This window comes from Homo sapiens, chromosome 4, assembly GCF_000001405.40.
Source record: "Homo sapiens chromosome 4, GRCh38.p14 Primary Assembly".
In the NCBI taxonomy this organism is placed as follows: domain Eukaryota; kingdom Metazoa; phylum Chordata; class Mammalia; order Primates; family Hominidae; genus Homo; species Homo sapiens.
The window spans coordinates 168,448,936-168,467,428 of record NC_000004.12 but is presented as its reverse complement, the minus strand read 5'-3'; the positions used below and the strand labels follow the sequence as shown (position 1 = coordinate 168,467,428).

The window sequence follows — 18,493 nt, the reverse complement described above, 5'->3', positions numbered from 1 at the left end:
TTCTTTTTTTAAAATTTGAAACAGGGTCTCACTCTGTCTCCCAGGCTGCAACATAGCAGTAGCATGATTTTGGCACACTGTAACCTCTGTGTCCTGGGCTCAAGTGAACCTCCCACCTCAGCCTCCTGAGTAGCTGGGACTACAGGCGTGTGGCAGCATGGTTGGCTAATTTTTGTATTTTTTATAAAGATGGGGTCTTGCTGAGTTGTACAGGCTAGTCTCCAACTCCCAAGGTCAAGCAATCCACCTATCTTGGCCACCCAGAGTGTTGGGATTACAGGCATGAGCCACTGTGCCTAGCCACTAAATATTTATTTTTTCATTCATTTTCAGATTATGCAGTTTTACACTGAATAACACAGAAGGAAACTAAAATTACCAACAGTTTATATGTAAGCTTGATTCCTGTCTTAAGGAAAAGAAGAACACTGCAAAAGCAACACGTATTCTAACAAAACGTGTTCTAACATGTTTTGTTAGAACACAAACAAAAAACCTCTAAAAAGCTTTCATGTTACACTCTCATTTTGTGAATTGGCAGCTGTCTGTGTCCCTTAAATCTTTGATTATCTGCTGCTTTCTGTGTAGCAGGCAACAAAGCACACAGATTGTAACTATAGCTTACCAAAAGGGGATACATGGACCATATATCCATCACCTGGATACTCTAAACCAGTTTTTAAACATAAACTGCAGAAATCCTGACTAATACAGCAAAATAAGACTTTATTTTTTGGCTAGCTGCTAGTGACAACCAGTGATGCCATAACAGGAGGGGACTGGTCAGAAACATGCACCAACTCTTAATAGCAACTGCTCTACTTGAAATTCACATCTGGTGAAATGAGGACAGATTTTTATTCCTCTATTTTCGAATGATAAATATCATCACATAATTTTACAAATTGAAATGTAATTTGTCATTGTTGTATCTCTGATTCTATAACCTGATATACTGCTAAGGGAAAATAAGGAGTTAACTTTTTAAAAAATGTGTGAAAGCCATAATATCATCTACTGTATGTGACAAAGCCTCACAGATTCTCTATTGTGATAATTTCCATTTTCTTCTGCCCTCATTTATCCTTTATATTGCTAAGTTGTGTCTTCCCTCTTCTTGATTAATCTAGTTAGTGATTTATCAATTTTGCTGATGTTTTCAAAGACCTAGCTTTTTTCACTTTGTTAATTTTCTGTATTGTCTTTTTTTTAATTTCACTGATTTCTACTCTTGTCTTTATTTGTTTCTCTTGGATTTTCCTTACTCTTTTTTCCACTAACTTCATAAATTGAAATTTTAAGCTAAGATCTTTTTTATTTTCTATTTATGAACAGTAAAATTTTTCTTGTAAGCTCTGTTTTAGCTACATATCACAAATTTGCATCTAATGGTTTTTTCTTTACCATTTAATTAGAAATAATTTCTAACATCTCTTGTGATTCTTTTTTCTTTGACTGGTGGATTATTTAGAAATTTGTTGTTTTAAAAGCTGGGGGTATTTCACTACTAGATTTCAAAGTATTCCACAAAGCTCTAGTAACCCAAACAGCATGGTACTGGCATAAAAACACAGTTGGACCAGTGGAACAGAATAGAGAACCCAAAAATAAATTCATGTATTTACAGCCAAATGATTTTTGACAAAAACATATCAAGAACGTTCACTGGGGAAAGGACAGTGTCTTCAGTAAATGGTGCTCAGGAAATTGGATATTCATATGCAGGAAAATGAAACTGAACCCTCACTTTCACTATATTAAAAAATCAATTCAAAATGGATTGAGGACTTAAATGTAGGACCCAAAACTATGAAACTATTAGAAAAAAACATAGGGGAAATGCTTCAGGACATTGGTTAGTGTGAAGATCTTATGGAGAAGACTTCAGAAGCACAGGTAGCAAAAGCAAAAGTAGACAAATGGGATTATATCAAACTAAAAAGTTTCCGCACAGGAAAGGAAATAATCAACAGAGTAAAGAGACACCTTCAGAATGGGAAGAATATTTGTCAGTATTTATCCTACAAGGAATTAATATCCAGGATATGCAGGGAACTCAAACATCTCAATAGCAAAAGAAAAAAAAGATAATCCAATTAAAATGTGGGCAAGTGAGCTGAATAGGCATCTCTCAATAGAAGACATACAAATAGCCAACACATGTATGAAAGCATAGTCAACATTATTAATCATCGGAGAAATGCAAATCCAAACCATAATAAGATAGCATCTCACCCCATTAGAATAGCTGTTGTCAAAAAGACAAAAAAAAAATGCTAGTAAGGATGTAGAGAAAGGGTAACTCATATGCTGCTGGTATGAATTTGAATTAATTCAGTAATTATGGAAAACAGTATGGAGGTTCCTCAAAAAACACAAAAAGGAATTACTATATGAACCAGCAACTCCACTACTAGATATATATTCAAAGGATAGGAAATCAGTATGTTAAAGAGATATCTGCTGTCCTGTGTTTATTGAAACACTATTTACATAGCCAACATATGGAAACAAACTAAGTGTTCATCAACACATGAATGGATAAAGAAAATGTGGTGTATATATACACTATATAATACTATTTGGCTATAAAAAACAAAATTCGGTCATTTGTGGCAACATGATGATCTTGGAGGACATTATTGCACCATAGGGTGGATATAATTAACAGTAATTTATTGCATTTTTTCACATAGTTAGAAGAGCAGATTTGGCATGTTTCCAACACACGCACACACACAAATAATTGTGTCTGATGTGATCAATATGCTAATTACTCTGATTTGATCATTATGCATTGTATACATATATATCAAAATATCACCCTGTACTCCATAGATATGTGCAATTAGTCCAGGTGAGGTGGTTCACATGTGTAATAACAACACTTTGAGAGGCTGAATGGGGAGGATCATTTGAAGCCAAGAGTACAAGACCAGTGTGAATAACAAAGTGAGATCCTGTTTCTACCAAAAAAAAAAAAAATACAATTATAAAGTCACTTAAGGATGATTTTAAAAATTAAAAAACTATTGTTTTAATGTATAAATTCTTGTTTTTTCTAGATGTGTTATTGATTTCTAATTTAATTCCATTGTGGTTGAAGAAAATATTTCTGTATAATTTCAATAATTTAAACATCTATTGGGACTTGTTTTGACGTCCAATACATGGCCTATTTTGGTGAATGTACCATGTGTTCTTGGAAATAATATATATTCTACAGTTCTTGAATATAATCTTCTAGAAATGTCATTAAGTCAGAGTAGTTGATAGCTAAAATTAATTTTTATTTGCAACAATAGATACTTATTTTAAGGACACCTAGGAACATGAGGTAGGAGGAGACTTCCCTCAACCATCTTTCTTTGCTCTCTGATTTTGTATGCTTAAATTCTAGGAAGCACTTTAGGATCAAAACTGAGAAGAAATTGTATTTACATTCCAGTAGAATGGCAAATCAATAGAGGCACTATCCTTATTTGGATTGATCTATATAAACATCCTCAACAGTGTATTATACTATGGTTTTTAAAAATTACAGATTGAATGGCTTCCAATTGTAACAAATCTCAACCCAAATACAAAAGTATATTATGAGCCCATTCCCTCATCCTACTCCTAGAAGCAATTGTTGTTTTACTCCTAAGAATTCTAGTCTATATTTGTTCAATCTTTATACATAGGATTTTTTTGGGGTGGGGGTTAGTTTTGGCACCATTAAAAGTGAAAGCAGTGTTTTGATTGATACCTATAGAAAAGTCAGGGTTCTTTTTAAATTATGACAGTCTAGTAGGCTAGAGTGTCAATATCATTTAAAAACAGATTTTTTTTTAACTTAGTTCAGGGGTACATGTGCAGGTTTGTTATGTAGGTAAGCTTGTCTTATGGGGGTTTGTTGTACAGATTATTTCTTCACCCAGGTATTAAGCCTAGTACCCATTAGTTATTTTTCCTGATACTCTCCCACCTCTCACCCTCCACCCTCCGCCCTCCAATAGGCTGCAGTGTCTGTTGTTTTCCTGTATGTGTCCATGTGTTCTCATCATTTAGCTCCCACTTACAAGTGACAACATGCAGTATTTGGATTTCTGTTTTTGCATTTGGGACATGATCTCATTCTTGTTTATGAATGCATAGTATTCCATGATGTATATGTACCACATTTTCTTTGTCCAGTCTATCATCAATGACTTAGTTTGATTTCATGTCTTTGCTATTGTGAATAGTGCTGCGGTGAACATATGCGTGCATGTGTCTTTATGATGGAATGATTTATATTTCTTTGGATATATACCCAGTAATGGGATTGCTGGGTCGAATGGTAGATCTTTCAGGAATTGCCACAGTTTTCCACAATGGTCAAACTAATTTACACTCCCACCAACAGTGTTAAGCATTCCTTTTTCTCTGCGACTTTATCAGCATCTGTTATTTTTTGATGTTGAGTTATTTTAACTCTCATTTTTTATTATTTTTAATAATAGCCATCTGACTGGCGTGAGATGGTATCTCATTGTGGTTTTGATTTGCATTTCTCTAATGATCAGGGATGCTGAGCTTTTTTTATATGCTTACTGGCTGCATGTGTGTCTTCTTTTGTTTTTGTTTTTGTTTTGAGACACAGTCTCTCTGTCACCCAGGCTGGCGTGCAGTGGCATGATCTCGGCTCACTGCAACCTCCGCCTCCCTGGTTCAAGCGATTTTCCTGCTTCAGCCTCCCAAGTAGCTGGGCTTGCAGGCACCCACCACTGCGCCCAGCTAATTTTTGTATTTTTAGTAGAAACAGGGTTTCACCATGTTGGCCAGACTGGTCTCGTCCTCCTGACCTCAAATGATCCACCCACCTCGGCCTCCTAAACTGCTGGGATTATAGGCGTGAGCCACTGTGCCTGACCATATGTCTTCTTTTGAAAAGTGTCTGTTTATGTCCTTTGCCCACTTTTTAGTGGGTTTTTTTTTTCTCTTGTAAATTTGAAAAATAGAAATTTTGATTTGCCAAGAAAAGACTTACATTATTTAGGGAGGAGACACATCACCTGGAATGTTACATTTTTATCTACTAATAGTGATTCACATCAGCTTCTCAATTCAGATGAAATACATCTATCCACTTGCTACTTTAATCCCTATTTGAACATAGATAGTAAAAGAATTAGAAGTGAAGTGGTAGTGTATGCCTGCTCAAATAAAAGAGATGAATCTATATAATCCACATTTTGACCTGTGGCATGCACTTGTGAAAGGAGTCAAGTTTAAGGCCCTTGAGCAAAACAATTAGATCACATGAGTTCAGTCCTGTATAGCTTTGTGCTGTAAGCAACAAAATTAACAAATAAGTAAAGGAAGATTTGAAAATGATGTGCTTGTTTCTTTTTCTCACCACAGGATGCTGAATATGCATATTTTGATTTTCCTGAACTTCTTTCATTGAGGACCGCTTTAATTCTCCACCTTCAACACAATACTAACATTGATGTGCAAACGGAGTTTTCTGGATGCTTATCACAAGATTGGAAGTTATTCTTGGAACAGCATTACCCGTATTTTCTGATAGTTTCAGAGGAAGGCCTGAGTGATTTACAAACGTACCTTTTTAACTTCCTAATCATACATTCCTGGGGAATGAAAGTCAATGTTGTGCTTTCATCAGGGCATGAATCTGATACTCTCAGATTTTATGCATATACTATGGAAAGCACAGACAGAAACCAAACTTTTTCCAAGGAGGTAATTGACATTAATAACTCATTTTTTTCCTGATTTCTTGTTTTAATTCTCAAAATCACTAACTCAATATTCTTTCTGTATTTTTAATGGAACTTATTATAGGCAGTCTCCAAAGAGGTAATACATTTAATAATGGTAACAATGATAATGATGGACATTTATTAAGCACTTATGCCAATTCCTTTTTCTAAATTTCTCTTAATTCTCAGGGTACTCCTATAAGGTTTGTAGCATTATTATATCTATCTATTCATATCTAATTGTGGTATTGTCACCTCATCTGTAAAAGAATATTTAGAGTATTGAAGTAATTTGCTCATGTTGAGTACCTAATTGTAGTATAATAAGAAATATATTTGCACTTTATCCCCAGTTGCTGTCACAGAGCCCCTAAAACCCTTGGAATTTCTTGAGTAATAATAATGTCTTTTGTTATTTGTAAGGAGCTGCTTTTGATCACATCTGAATTTTTCCTAATGAGGTAACCTAGGGTGGGGCCCCTGGATAGCCTCAGGGTTGAGCTGGCCACCAAAAGGACCAAGCCATCAGAGGCTGGAAGCTTCAGTCCCAGCCACCAACCTCTGGGAAGGAGAGTAAGAGGGGCTAGATATTAAGCTCTATAAAAACTCTCGAACAGTGAGGTTTGTTCAACTCCCAGGTTGGGAAGTCCTGGGAGGGTGGTGCACCCAGGGTGTTACTGGGGCCATCTGCCCCTCTTCTCATACCTTGCCCTGTGCATCTGTTCCATCTGGCTGTTCCACAGTTGAATCCTTCATAATAAACTGGTAATAGCAAGCAAACCACTTTTCCTGAGTTCTGGTGAACTATGCTAGCAAATTACCAAACGTGAGGAGGGAACCCCAGATTTGTAGCTGGTCTGTCAGCATGTGAAGCCCGGCATTTGTGATTCGTGTCTGAAGTGGGAGGCAATCTTGTTGGACTGAGTCCTTACCCTGTGCGGCCTGCCTTAACCCAGGGTAGTTAGTGTCAGAATGGAATTAAATTATATGGCACCCAGTTGGTGTCTGGAGAGAATTAGGCAATTATTGGTGTGGAAAACCCATACTTTTTTTTTTTGTTAGTGTTATAAGTAAAGAAGTGGTTTTCCTTTACGAATAAAAGGTTGACAGTGGATTTCCCCAAAGGAGTATGTCTCTAGCTTCTATATTTAGCCGTAGGGTGTCCTGCCGCCCAGATCCTGGAAAGCAAGAAATGCATTTAACTGGAAATCCATGTGTTTAGAGGTTCCTGTGTTGCATATAGGCAGTGAAATGATGGGTAACATGGAGGAAGGACCCTTAATGAGAAAGAAATGAAGAAGACTGACAAAGAAGCAAGTAATGAGATAATTTCATTCCTTAACATAAACTCATGAAGTCTGAAGAATTTTCAAAGCATTATGATAGGCTCATTATTTTGGTATAGTTGACATTAGGTTTATGCAGTATTTATGTTATGAAACTTGGGAGTCAAAAAATATATTAATAATCTTATGAGTGAATCTAGTCTTGTTCCAGTTTTCACATTTTGAAATGAATTCTGATGATGCAGGCCATTCGATAGTTTATCAAAAATAATCTTTCAATGTAATTCATATTTTTACTTTTTATAGCAGATCTCTGTCCTTTGAAATTGGAACTCCGCCTTTGTTTTTTGTTTTGGTTGGAAAATTGCCTTCTAAATGTACAACATGGCAATAAAACTACAATTTATCATGTTTTGAGAAACATTCTTCATGTAATTAAGACATACAGATGTTTGTCATGCTTTTAGATTAGTTATTTGCTTTATTTTTATTCTGTCATTAAAATATTTCCCCAGGTTTTTTTTTTTTGAACTTTAGACTTCTCTTTCCTTCCCTCCTTCCCTCCCTCCCTTCCCTCCTTCCTTCCTTCCTTCCTTCCTTCCTTCCTTCCTTCCTTCCCTCCTTCCTTCCTTCCCTCCCTTTGGTGTCTTGATATATTGCCTAGGCTGGAGTGCAGTGGCGTGATCTTGGCTCACTGCAACCTCCGCCTCCTTGGTTCAAGCAATTCTCTTGCCTGCCTTGGCCTCCCAAGTTGCTGGGATTACAGGTGCCTGCCACCACGCCAGGCTAATTTTTGTATTCTTAGTAGAGATAGGGTTTCACCATGTTGCCCAGGCTGGTCTTGAACTCCTGACCTCAGGTGATCCACCCACCTTGGCCTCCTAAAGTGCTGGGATTGCAGGCGTGAGCCACTGTGCCTGGCCTCTAGACTTTATTTTCATATTGAGAAGAGGTACTGTTACCAGTAAGTCTCTATTTTGCCTGAAAAATACCAGACTCTGACTTAAAAATGCAATACTAGGGTCTTGATTGGTCTCTCTTTAAGAATAACCATATTTATTTATTTATTTATTTATATAGGGTCTCGCTATGTTGCCCAGGCTGGTTTCAAACTCCTGGGCTCAAGTGATATTCCTGCCTCAGCCTCCCAAAGTGCTGAGATTACAGGCATGAGCCATCATGCCTGGCCTTCTTTTCTTCTTAAATTGATGATTTTATTTTCTGTAAAATTATTTTCTAATTCATTATCTATAAGTATTTCCCTAAAAGAAGTTATTTTTCTCACCCCCTTTGGACTGTTTAAATTAGTCTCAATAAATATTATAGATGTATTATATGTTGATAATTGTTCAGGATTGGGGGTCCATACTACCTTCTCTAAGTTTCTATATTTTTGAAAGCTCCATAATACCAAGACAGTTCATTATATTCTGAAATAAAAATTAATTTGTCAAAGAGGAAATATGCATGTTTATCAGAGCTTAAGAAAAATTGTCCTAAAGACATATGAGGGTGATTTTACTTAGTATACCTTATAACAAATGTAGAATTCAAATGTCTCACTAAAAAAATTAATTTAACTTTATTTTAAATTCTGGGATACATGCGCAGAACATGCAGGTTTGTTACATAGGTAAATGTGTGCCATGGTGGTTTGCTGCACCTATCAACCCATCACCTAGGTATTAAACCCTGCACGCATTAGTTATTTATCCTGATGCTCTCCCTCCCCCGTTCCCCCAACAGGCCCTAGTGTGTGTTGTTCCTTTCCCTGTGTCCATGTGTTCTCATTGTTCAGCTCCCACTTATAAGTGAGAACATGTGGTGTTTGGTTGTCTGGTCCTGCGTTAGTTTGCTGAGGATAATGGCTTCGAGCTCCATCCATGTCCCTGTGAAGGACATGATGTTGTTCCTTTTCACAGCTGCATAGTATTCCATGGAATATATGTACCACATTTTCTTTATCCAATCTATGATTGATGGGCATTTGGGTTGATTTCATGTCTTTGCTATTGTGAGTAGTGCTGCAGTGAACATACTTATGCATGTATCTTTATAATAGAATGATTTATATTCCTTTGGGTATATACCCAGTAATAGGATTGCTGGGTCAAATGGTATTTCTGGTTCTAAGTCTTTGAGGAATTGCCACACTGTCTTCCATAATGGTTGAACTAATTTCATCCCCACCAACAGTGTATAAGCATTCGTATTTCTCTACAAACTCGCCAGCATATGTTGTTTCTTGACTTTTTAGTAATCGCCATTCTGACCAGCATGAGATAATATCTCATTGTGGTTTTGATTTGCCTCAAGTGTCTCATATTTTACAGCTGGGAAATACTTTATTTAAGATATTTTATATGGTTTTCTCCCTTTTACAGAATGAAACAGTGATTCAGAGTGCATATAAAAGCCTCATACAACACTTGGAAGAAATAAGGGTTTTAGTATTAGCAACTCATTTTGAACATTTGAAATGGAATGATATGATGGAAGAGGTATTAAAATTTTTATTTCTTTAAATAAAAGTTTGATAGAATTTGGTAAATGAGAATGAACTTGTGATTAGTTCAGTCCTTAGACCAGACTAAAGGGTGCCATATACCTCCTTAGTACATGTATACTATCTGAATCTTAGAATGTCATGCTCTCAGAGTACCTTGAATTCATCGGATGGCATATGTAATTTTATATTCATTTCCGGAAGCCATATTTTAAAACAGACTCTGGGAAACTAGAAAATTGTAGTACTTAATGCAACAGTAATGTTTATTTTCCAGTATTCAAATTGAGGAGGGCTCTAAGATATCATTTGCCATATAAACAGTCAAAATGTGGAATTAATTATACCTTAAGTCTAATTTTCTGATTATCTTCTCAAGCTATGCTTTATACTACTATTTATCATGATGGATTACTAAGCACCTCTTTCTTTTTTTTTTTTTCTGATGCTCAAGCGGTAAAAGGTGGTTGCATAAGAAAGTTTGGAAAAAAACACAAAAGTAGTAAGAATATCCATAATTCCACTTCTTGATATTAGCGTTTTAACATATATTTTTGTGTAGCTGAGGACATATTGTGTGTGTGTGTGTGTGTATGTGTGTGTGTGTGTGTGTGTGTGTGTGTGTATGTAGTTTATATATATGTTTTTGGTGTTTTGTTTTGTTTTTTTTTCAGACAAGGCCTCACTCTGTTGCCCATTCTGGAGTGCAGTGACACAATCATGGATCACTGCAGCCTTGACCTCCCAGGCTCAGGTGATCCTCCCACCTCAGCCTCCTGAGTAGCTGGACCCACAGGCATATGCCACCATGCCTGCCTAATTTTTAATTTTTATTTTATATAGAGATGGTGTCTCACTTTGTTACCCAGGCTGGTCTTGAACTCCTGGGCTCAAGTGATCCTCCTACCTTGGCCTCCCAAAGTCTTGGGATTATAGCTGTGAGCCACCATGCCCAGACTGTATATATATTTTTAGTGTACATTTCATTAAGATTATTGCATATTTTCTTGTCATTAAGAATTTTTCATAAATGTAGTATCTAATGAGTGCATTATATTTTCTTAATGCTAGACACTTAAATTACTTCAAAATTTTGGCTCATATAAATAATGTTATAATGAACATTTTGATGTATATGTTTTTTGTATACATATTGGGTTATTATTCCTCTGTGCTAAATTCCCAGAAATTCAAAACTGGATCATAAGGCATCAACATATTTAATGATCCTGATGGACGTTGTCAAAGAGCTTTGCAGAAATTCTATACCTACCTGTACTTTTATCTTTAATCTGTAAGAGAGGTGACTCACCACACAATTTTCAATGTTGTGTGATATTATTTTAAAATTTTTGATATTATTGATATTTATAACAAGCTAATTTTTGTTTTAACATATACTTCTCTGATTTTTAGTAAAATGGGATGATTTTATTTTTATTAATAATCTATTTCCTTCTTTGTGAATCAGTTCATGTTTTACTAAATCTTAATTTCTTATTATTTAATTTCTTTACATATTTAGGTTTTCATATTTCTCTGGCATATTGGTTGTAATTATTTTTCAATTTTCTATCATTAAAATGATCATACATTTTTAAACTAAACATTTGAAGTTCCGTTTAGTCAAATCTATACAATCGTTTTCTTTATGTTTCTTACAAGTAAGAGCACTTCTGAGTAAAAGAATATTTCTAAATAATTTGACATTTGAAGAAATTTCTTTTTTGATAGGCGTATCAGACTCTATTTCTGCTTCAGCACCTATGGTCAGAAGGATCGGACATCCAGCGTGTTCTCTGTGTCACTTCATGTTCACTATCCTTGAGAATGTACCATCGTGTCTTAGTAAGTAAAAAGAACACAGCCGCCAGGCAGAAAGCTGTCATTCATCAGGTGTAACTGGTATAACTTCACTGGTGGCATCAGGTTCTCCACTGTGGACATACTCTTGGTTTCTGACCGCCATTTTCTTCATTAGGAATTTAGCCCCTTCCCCCACCAATTTATGTGTATTAAATACCAAAAAGGGGAGAAAAATTAGAATCTGTATACATAAGAAAATATTATGTTACGTAATTTAGTGTTTTTCTTAAAATACAATGTACAGCAAGTTTTATCTGGTGTTTCACTTAGTAGTTATTTGGCCCAGTTCTTCTAAAAAACAGAGAAAGTGAGGAGGAAGAGGAAAAGAAACAAATTGGAGGAGGGGCCCCACTATACGCTGTGTTTCAGGGTCTTTGTGTTACCTGACACCATGTAATCTTACAACTTTTCAGTATAGCAATTATCACTCTCTCCTGTCGATTCAAGACTTTGAGACCAAGACTTCCCTAACCTACCTAAAATCACATGGTAAAAGGCAGCCTGGATTTTGACTAGGATGGTTGGCTCCACAGCTTGTAATGATTCTGCTCTGTTAAGTTGTGTATTTAAAAGAACAGTTCTGTTATTGTTTATTAGTGTCACTGAGACTATAGAGATCCTGAATTTTTATAATTGTTTTCAGCTTATAGGGCCCTTTAGGAATCTTTTGAGGAACATGGATTTTCCGCTCTACTATATGCATCCCTGCTTGCATAAGTACACACACACACACACACACACACACACAAAGTTTGTATGCAGTCTAGATATTGGTGTGTTTCAGGCTGAAAACTCTGTTCTTAAAACAAACAGCAATAAAAGAAATAGAAAAAAAAAGAAAAAGAAAAAGAAAGAAATAATGTGACTGTACAGGGCTCAAGAAGTTAGTATTCTATAGGAGAAAATTGTCCATTTCTTAAATCTATCAGCATGTTTTCATAAAATATTTACTTTGTGCATGGTAATATATATGCCAAAAATAAATATATTTGGAGAGAGAGAAGAAATAGACATGATATCTACCCCCACTGATCATACATATCTTGGAAGGCAATTTTAATGTCCCTTTGAAATAACTAGAGGAATTTCAGACCTCTAGTCTGAACCACCAACTCAACATTTTCACTTGGATTTGTAATAGACATCTCAAATTTAGGATTTCTGGAACCAAACTCCCCAAACCTGCTTCTGCCTCACTCTTCTCCATCCCAACAAATGACAACAACATTCTTCTAGCTGCTAAAAAAAAAAAAAAAAAAAAAGGAAGCTGTTTACTCTTCGGGAGCACCATGGAGAATGGAGAATGGAGAGAGCAGTGAGCATTTTATGCTTCTTCCTTCTTGATTCTTTCCTTAGTTTGAATTTCCCATCTTTGACTTTCTCTTGACTGATAACACATTTATTAATTCCCTTAGCTAAGGATATTGATTGTCTAATGTGTGCTAATAGCTGCTTTCAACCTACAGAGCTGGGATGTTATGAAGACTAGCTAATAATAGGTAACATTTAGGGCTTACTGTGTATTGGTGATATTCTAGATATTTCACGTTTTTCCAGAAACCCTATGAGAAAGTGTACTGTTACTATCCCAATTTTATACATATAGGAGAACTGACTCATACAGTGTCTTGACTGGAGTTAGACGGTTTTCAGAGCCCAGATCCTGAATTACTGTGCAATAGTCTTTTTAATGTAGGAGACAGAGCACTCCAATATTTTAATTTAGTATGTAGTACAGTAGATCTTAGCTATGTAGATTTCTCTAAAATTGTGAATTTGAATACTTAAATTTTGAAGATAAACAGTAAAAAATGAAGAACTTAGAAACTTTATTTCAGCATGATTGTCAGAATTTTAAGAGCATGCTTAAAAATGATAATTACCTTAATATATTCACTTTTATGTTATGCTGAAGATGTGCCGTGGGTGGGAGTGTGAATAGCACCCATCATAGGGTTCTGGGTATAAAAGCTGATTTCTCACAAAAGTTCATATTGATTAATTTAATTTGCTTCTTTCTCACATGATTTAGAGATGGCTAGGGATCACTGTCTCATTTGAATCTCCTTTACTCTATTTGCCTAATTGTTTTTGGAAAAATATTTTCAAATGACCATGCACGATGTTTTTGGTGGTTCTAATTTAAAAAAATGAACATATTGAACCCAAATCAATCTCCTTGTAATTTCAGTTATCCCTAATTTTGCTCTATGAAGATACCCAGATTAAGGTTTTTTTAACCTTCCATATGACAACCTTTTATATATTCGAAAATAGTTCTGAAGTCTCTGCCACAGGAGGTGAAACTTGACCATTTCCTTCCCCGATTTCTCATTCAATACGTTTTACAGATAGATTGCCATCCGGGATTTCTCACCCTGAACCTGCCATGGGTTTGTAGATATTACTCTTCATTCTCTGAAATGACAGAGCATTTTACATGGGGCTCTGTCAATCCTCAGACCTCTGGGTCAGGGACTTCCTTTGCTGCCAACTCATTTAAAGTCCAGCTTCACTGAAAATCATAAGAAATGCATTATGTGAACTACTAAGCCTGGAGCTTTCCCTCCCTCTTACCTACTTCTGTATCAGTGCAGCCAAGTTTGTGTATGCAGAAGGGGACTTTCTCACAAATGTAGATGTAAAACTTTGAAGATATGATCTTCGTGGAGTGCCTATTTCAATGCCATTTCACAGCGTGACATTGTGACTGTTCTCATCTTCTTTATTGTACGCAGGTGCACAGTAATTGCCTATCCCTGCAGGAGGTGGAAGATTTCTGCAGACTGCGTTGCCTCTGTGTGGCTTTTCAACTCCACTTACCCCTTTCTCAGAGAGCTTGTTCTCGAGTCATCACATGCTCTTGGATTAGGAACAGTGATTCTTTCTTAAAAATGGTAAACATATTTTGTTTATTTTTTGTCTGAACATGAGAGATGAAAACCATGATCACCTTTAAAACTAGAGTTATATTGGAATAATGCCAGATCTAATTAGCTGATAAATCAAGTTCCTATTTTCAACAACTTTTATTTTTGGTAGTGTAATGAGGAAAACCACAGTATATCTGTTTTATAGAAGCATGAGAGCCTCCTCTTTTTCCTTCTTATCTCTGATGAGATCTTGTTTTTGTATAATCAATCATAGAAAATTGATTGACATTGTATTCTCTTTGTAGAGAAACTCAGGAAAAGTGTTTATGAATTTATTTTTTCTGTTTTTAATAAAAGTGTATTAAAGGAAAGTTAAAAATTGAAGAAAAAATAATAATATGTACTCCTAACCCACTGTTCAAATTAATACTGTTAACGGTTAATATTTTGGTTTAATTTCTTTCATTTTTTATTTTAGGGCCTAGTTTTTGTTATGGTTGCAATCATACGATATATGCTACATATTATTTTATTGTAAAAGCATTTTCACTTTTGGTTAGCATAATTTTTAAAATTTTTAATTTTTGTGAGTACATAGTAGTTGTACATATTTATTGAGTGCATTAGATGTTTTGATACAGGCATGCAATGCCTAATAATCACATCATGGAGAATGGGGTACCCATTCACTCAAGCTGGTTAGCATAATTTTTATGGCTACTAAATACGTTTGAGTGATTGTATTGTAGTTTACTTAATCATACCTCTATAAAGGGACATTAGGATCATTTGAAGCTTTTGTATCATAAATGCTACTGGCCTTGAGGGATAATTTGTAATGAATTACCTTGAATAGATTTTCTGAAATGGGAAAAGAGATGATAAGCCAAAAAGGTATGGAAAATTTGAGGATCTTGATAGATACTGTCAAATTGTTATCATAGACATTTTAAAACCAGTCTGTCAGGCAGCTGGTCCACACATGTTTATTCAGTGCATATTCACTGTGATAAGCACCAAGGAAGGAGTGGAGAAAAATACAAACTCATATCTCTTCTTCTTCCATGGAACTTCAATTTGCATTATTGAATAAGCAGTAAAATGATTACAAAGGTGCTGATGGATATGAAGGAGGGACTAATGAAGCTTTGGAAATGAATGATTAAGAGATACAACCCAGTCTGGAAAGGTTGACCTCTCTGAAGAGTGAAGACAAGTGAAATGACTCATGGTCTGAAGGATGAGTAGTAGTTAGTGGGGGAAGGGAAGAGCAAAAGGTTTTCAAGAGAGGACATAGCACTTGCGAATGCCACAAGGAGCTCAGATATGTTTAGTGTGACCAGAGAGGAGAAAAGCTGATGAAGCTGAGGAGGGGGTAGGAGAAAAATCAATATAGTACTTGTTGGCTCTGTTAAGGACTTAGGAAATCCTAAGAATAATGAGAAGTGATTGAAGGATTTCAAGCTGAAATTGACATTTTTGTTTAAGAGTTCTTTGGCTGAAGTGCATAGAGCGCATTGTAGACATCCAAATATAGAGGTGAGGAAACCACCCCAGTGATCACATGGTGATGATGCTAACATGGCTAAGATGTTGGTGGCAATAGGAACAAATAGAAGTCAAAGATACAAGAGTTCTTTAGGCTTTGAAACTGACAGGGTTAAGGAACAGGATATGAGGCAGAAGGGAGAAGGAAGAGTCAATGATGACTTTCAGGTTTCTGGCTAGGCCAACTGTATGGATGCTGCCACCGAAAGAAGAACATTCTGAAGAGGAAAACAATGAGTTTGGGAAATAGTGAGTTTGAGGTGGTGGCAATGAGACTTCCAAAGGAAATATGTAAAAGGCAGTTTAAGTATTCTTTAGACTGGGAATAAAAATTTGGGACACATCAGCCCATGAGTGGTTCTGAATACCATACCAGTTATGTGTTTTTCTAGGTAAAATGAGAGGACATCTAGGTTCAGGGTCCAGAGATATTCCAGAATTTAGTGGTCAGGTAGAAGCTTAAGAATTAGAAAAAGACACTGAAAAAGAGTGGTGAAGATAGATGGTAGAAAATCTGGGAGAATATGATATCTTAGAGTTCATATGAATCATATTTCAAAAAGAAGGAAATGGTTTATTAGTGTCAAATTCTGCAGATAATATGAGGATGTTGACAAGAAAATTCAGTGACTTTAATTTAATTGCATGAAAGTCAAGGCCAATTATTATTGTTGTCATTATTATTATTGTTTTGAGACAAGATCTTGCTCTGTTGCCCAGGCTGGAGTGCTGTGGCATGACCATAGCTCACTGCAGCCTCGACCTCCCAGGCTCAAGTGATCCTCCCACCTCAGCCTCTCTAATAGATGGGACTATACGCCACCATGCCTGGCTAATTTTATTTTTTGTAGAGGCAAGGTCTGGTCATGTTGCCAAGGCTGGTCTTGAATGCCTGGGCTCAAACAATCCTCCTGCCTCAGCCTCACAAAGTGTTGGGATTATAGGCATAAGCCATGGTACCTAGCCAAGGCTAATTATTATTAAGAGCTGTTTTGGTAGAGTGATGGGGTACAAAATCTATGGAATATTCAACAATAGTGAGTGGATGGGTATAAAATAAAGGTAGTGGAGGCAACTCTTTCCTTGGAGTTGGTCTTAGTTCATCTGTAATCTTTTTTTTTTTTTTTGAGGGAGACCAGAGTTTTATTATTATTCAATTCAGTCTCCCCTGAGCATTTGGAGATCAGAGTTTTTAAGGACAACTTGGTGGGTAGGGGGAAGCCAGTGAGCCAAGAATGCTGATTGGTCAGGTCAGAGATGAAATCATAGGGCGTTGAAGCTGTCTTCTTGCACTGAGTCAGTTCCTGGATGGGGACCACAAGATCAGATGAGCCAGTTTATAGAGCTGGCTGATGTCAGCTGATCCATCACGTGCAAGGTCTGCAAAATATCTCAAGTACTGGCTTAGGTTTTACAATAGTGGTTTTATCCCCAGGAGCAATACTGGGGAGGGTCAGAATCTTGTAGCCTCCAGCTGCATGACTCCTAAGCCATAATTTCTAATCTTTTGACTAATTTGTTAGTCCTCCATGGGCCGCCGAGTCCCCAGGAATGAAGGGGGTTTGTTTTGAGAAAGGGCTGTTATCATCTTTGTTTCAAACTATAAACTGTAAACAAAGTTCCTTCCAAAGTTAGTTCAGCCTACACCCAGGAACAAACAAGAACAGCTTGGAGGTTAGAAGCAAGGTGGAGTTAGTTAAGTCAGATCTCTTTCACCGTTTCAGTCATAATTTTGCAATGGTGGTTTCAATCCCTACTTCTGGGTTTTATAACCTCTTTTTTTTTTTTTTTTTTATTTTTACCCACATGTTTATTTTATTTTTATTCTATTTTCATTATTTTATTTTTTCACCATTGCTTCTTGCAGCCTACTCTTTTCAGTTTCAGCCTCTTTCTTAGTCAAGCACATCATTTAGTAATTTTTTTCTTTTTTCTTTTTTTTTTTTTGCATTTTTTTTTTTTGTTTTAATGTTTTTTTTTTTTTATTATACTCTAAGTTTTAGGGTACATGTGCACATTGTGCAGGTTAGTTACATATGTATACATGTGCCATGCTGGTGCGCTGCACCCACTAACGTGTCATCTAGCATTAGGTATATCTCCCAATGCTATCCCTCCCCCCTCCCCCGACCCCACCACAGTCCCCAGAGTGTGATATTCCCCTTCCTGTGTCCATGTGATCTCATTGTTCAATTCCCACCTATGAGTGAGAATATGCGGTGTTTGGTTTTTTGATCTTGCGATAGTTTACTGAGAATGATGGTTTCCAATTTCATCCATGTCCCTACAAAGGACATGAACTCATCATTTTTTATGGCTGCATAGTATTCCATGGTGTATATGTGCCTCTTAATCTTAAGGTCTTGGCTAAAGAAGATGGAAAAAGGGCAAAGACCGCTCTAACTTCTTCCTGCTCACCAGGGGTGTAGTGGGGGTAGGTGTTGACCCCAAAGTGAGAGGAATGGAACCAGTTTGCAACTGTCTAAATGTACTCATGCAGGCCTGGCTGGGATCCCAGGACCTGCATGACAAAGGTGTTAGTATTGTCATCTATAGTTTTAGTACCACATTAAGGGAACAGCGTACTATAAGGTAAATAATGAGTACTAGGATAAGCAGTGCAATTCCCAGTTTTAAAAGTAAAGATATGAAAGCATTAGTTTG

At 36.3% G+C, this 18,493-nt stretch overlaps 1 protein-coding gene across 20 annotated transcripts in view; it reads left to right on the top strand.

The window, feature by feature from the left end:
* DDX60L (DExD/H-box 60 like) overlaps positions 1-18,493 on the top strand; it is a 123,758-nt gene that overhangs the window by 13,064 nt on the left and 92,201 nt on the right. For all 20 annotated transcript variants that reach the window (XM_047416399.1, XM_005263341.5, XM_011532403.3 and 17 more), the window contains 4 exons: positions 5,389-5,730; positions 9,421-9,537; positions 11,277-11,390; positions 14,147-14,305. In XM_047416399.1, coding sequence (XP_047272355.1) covers positions 5,389-5,730; positions 9,421-9,537; positions 11,277-11,390; positions 14,147-14,305 — 732 coding nt within the window. The remainder of the gene's footprint in view (positions 1-5,388; positions 5,731-9,420; positions 9,538-11,276; positions 11,391-14,146; positions 14,306-18,493) is intronic.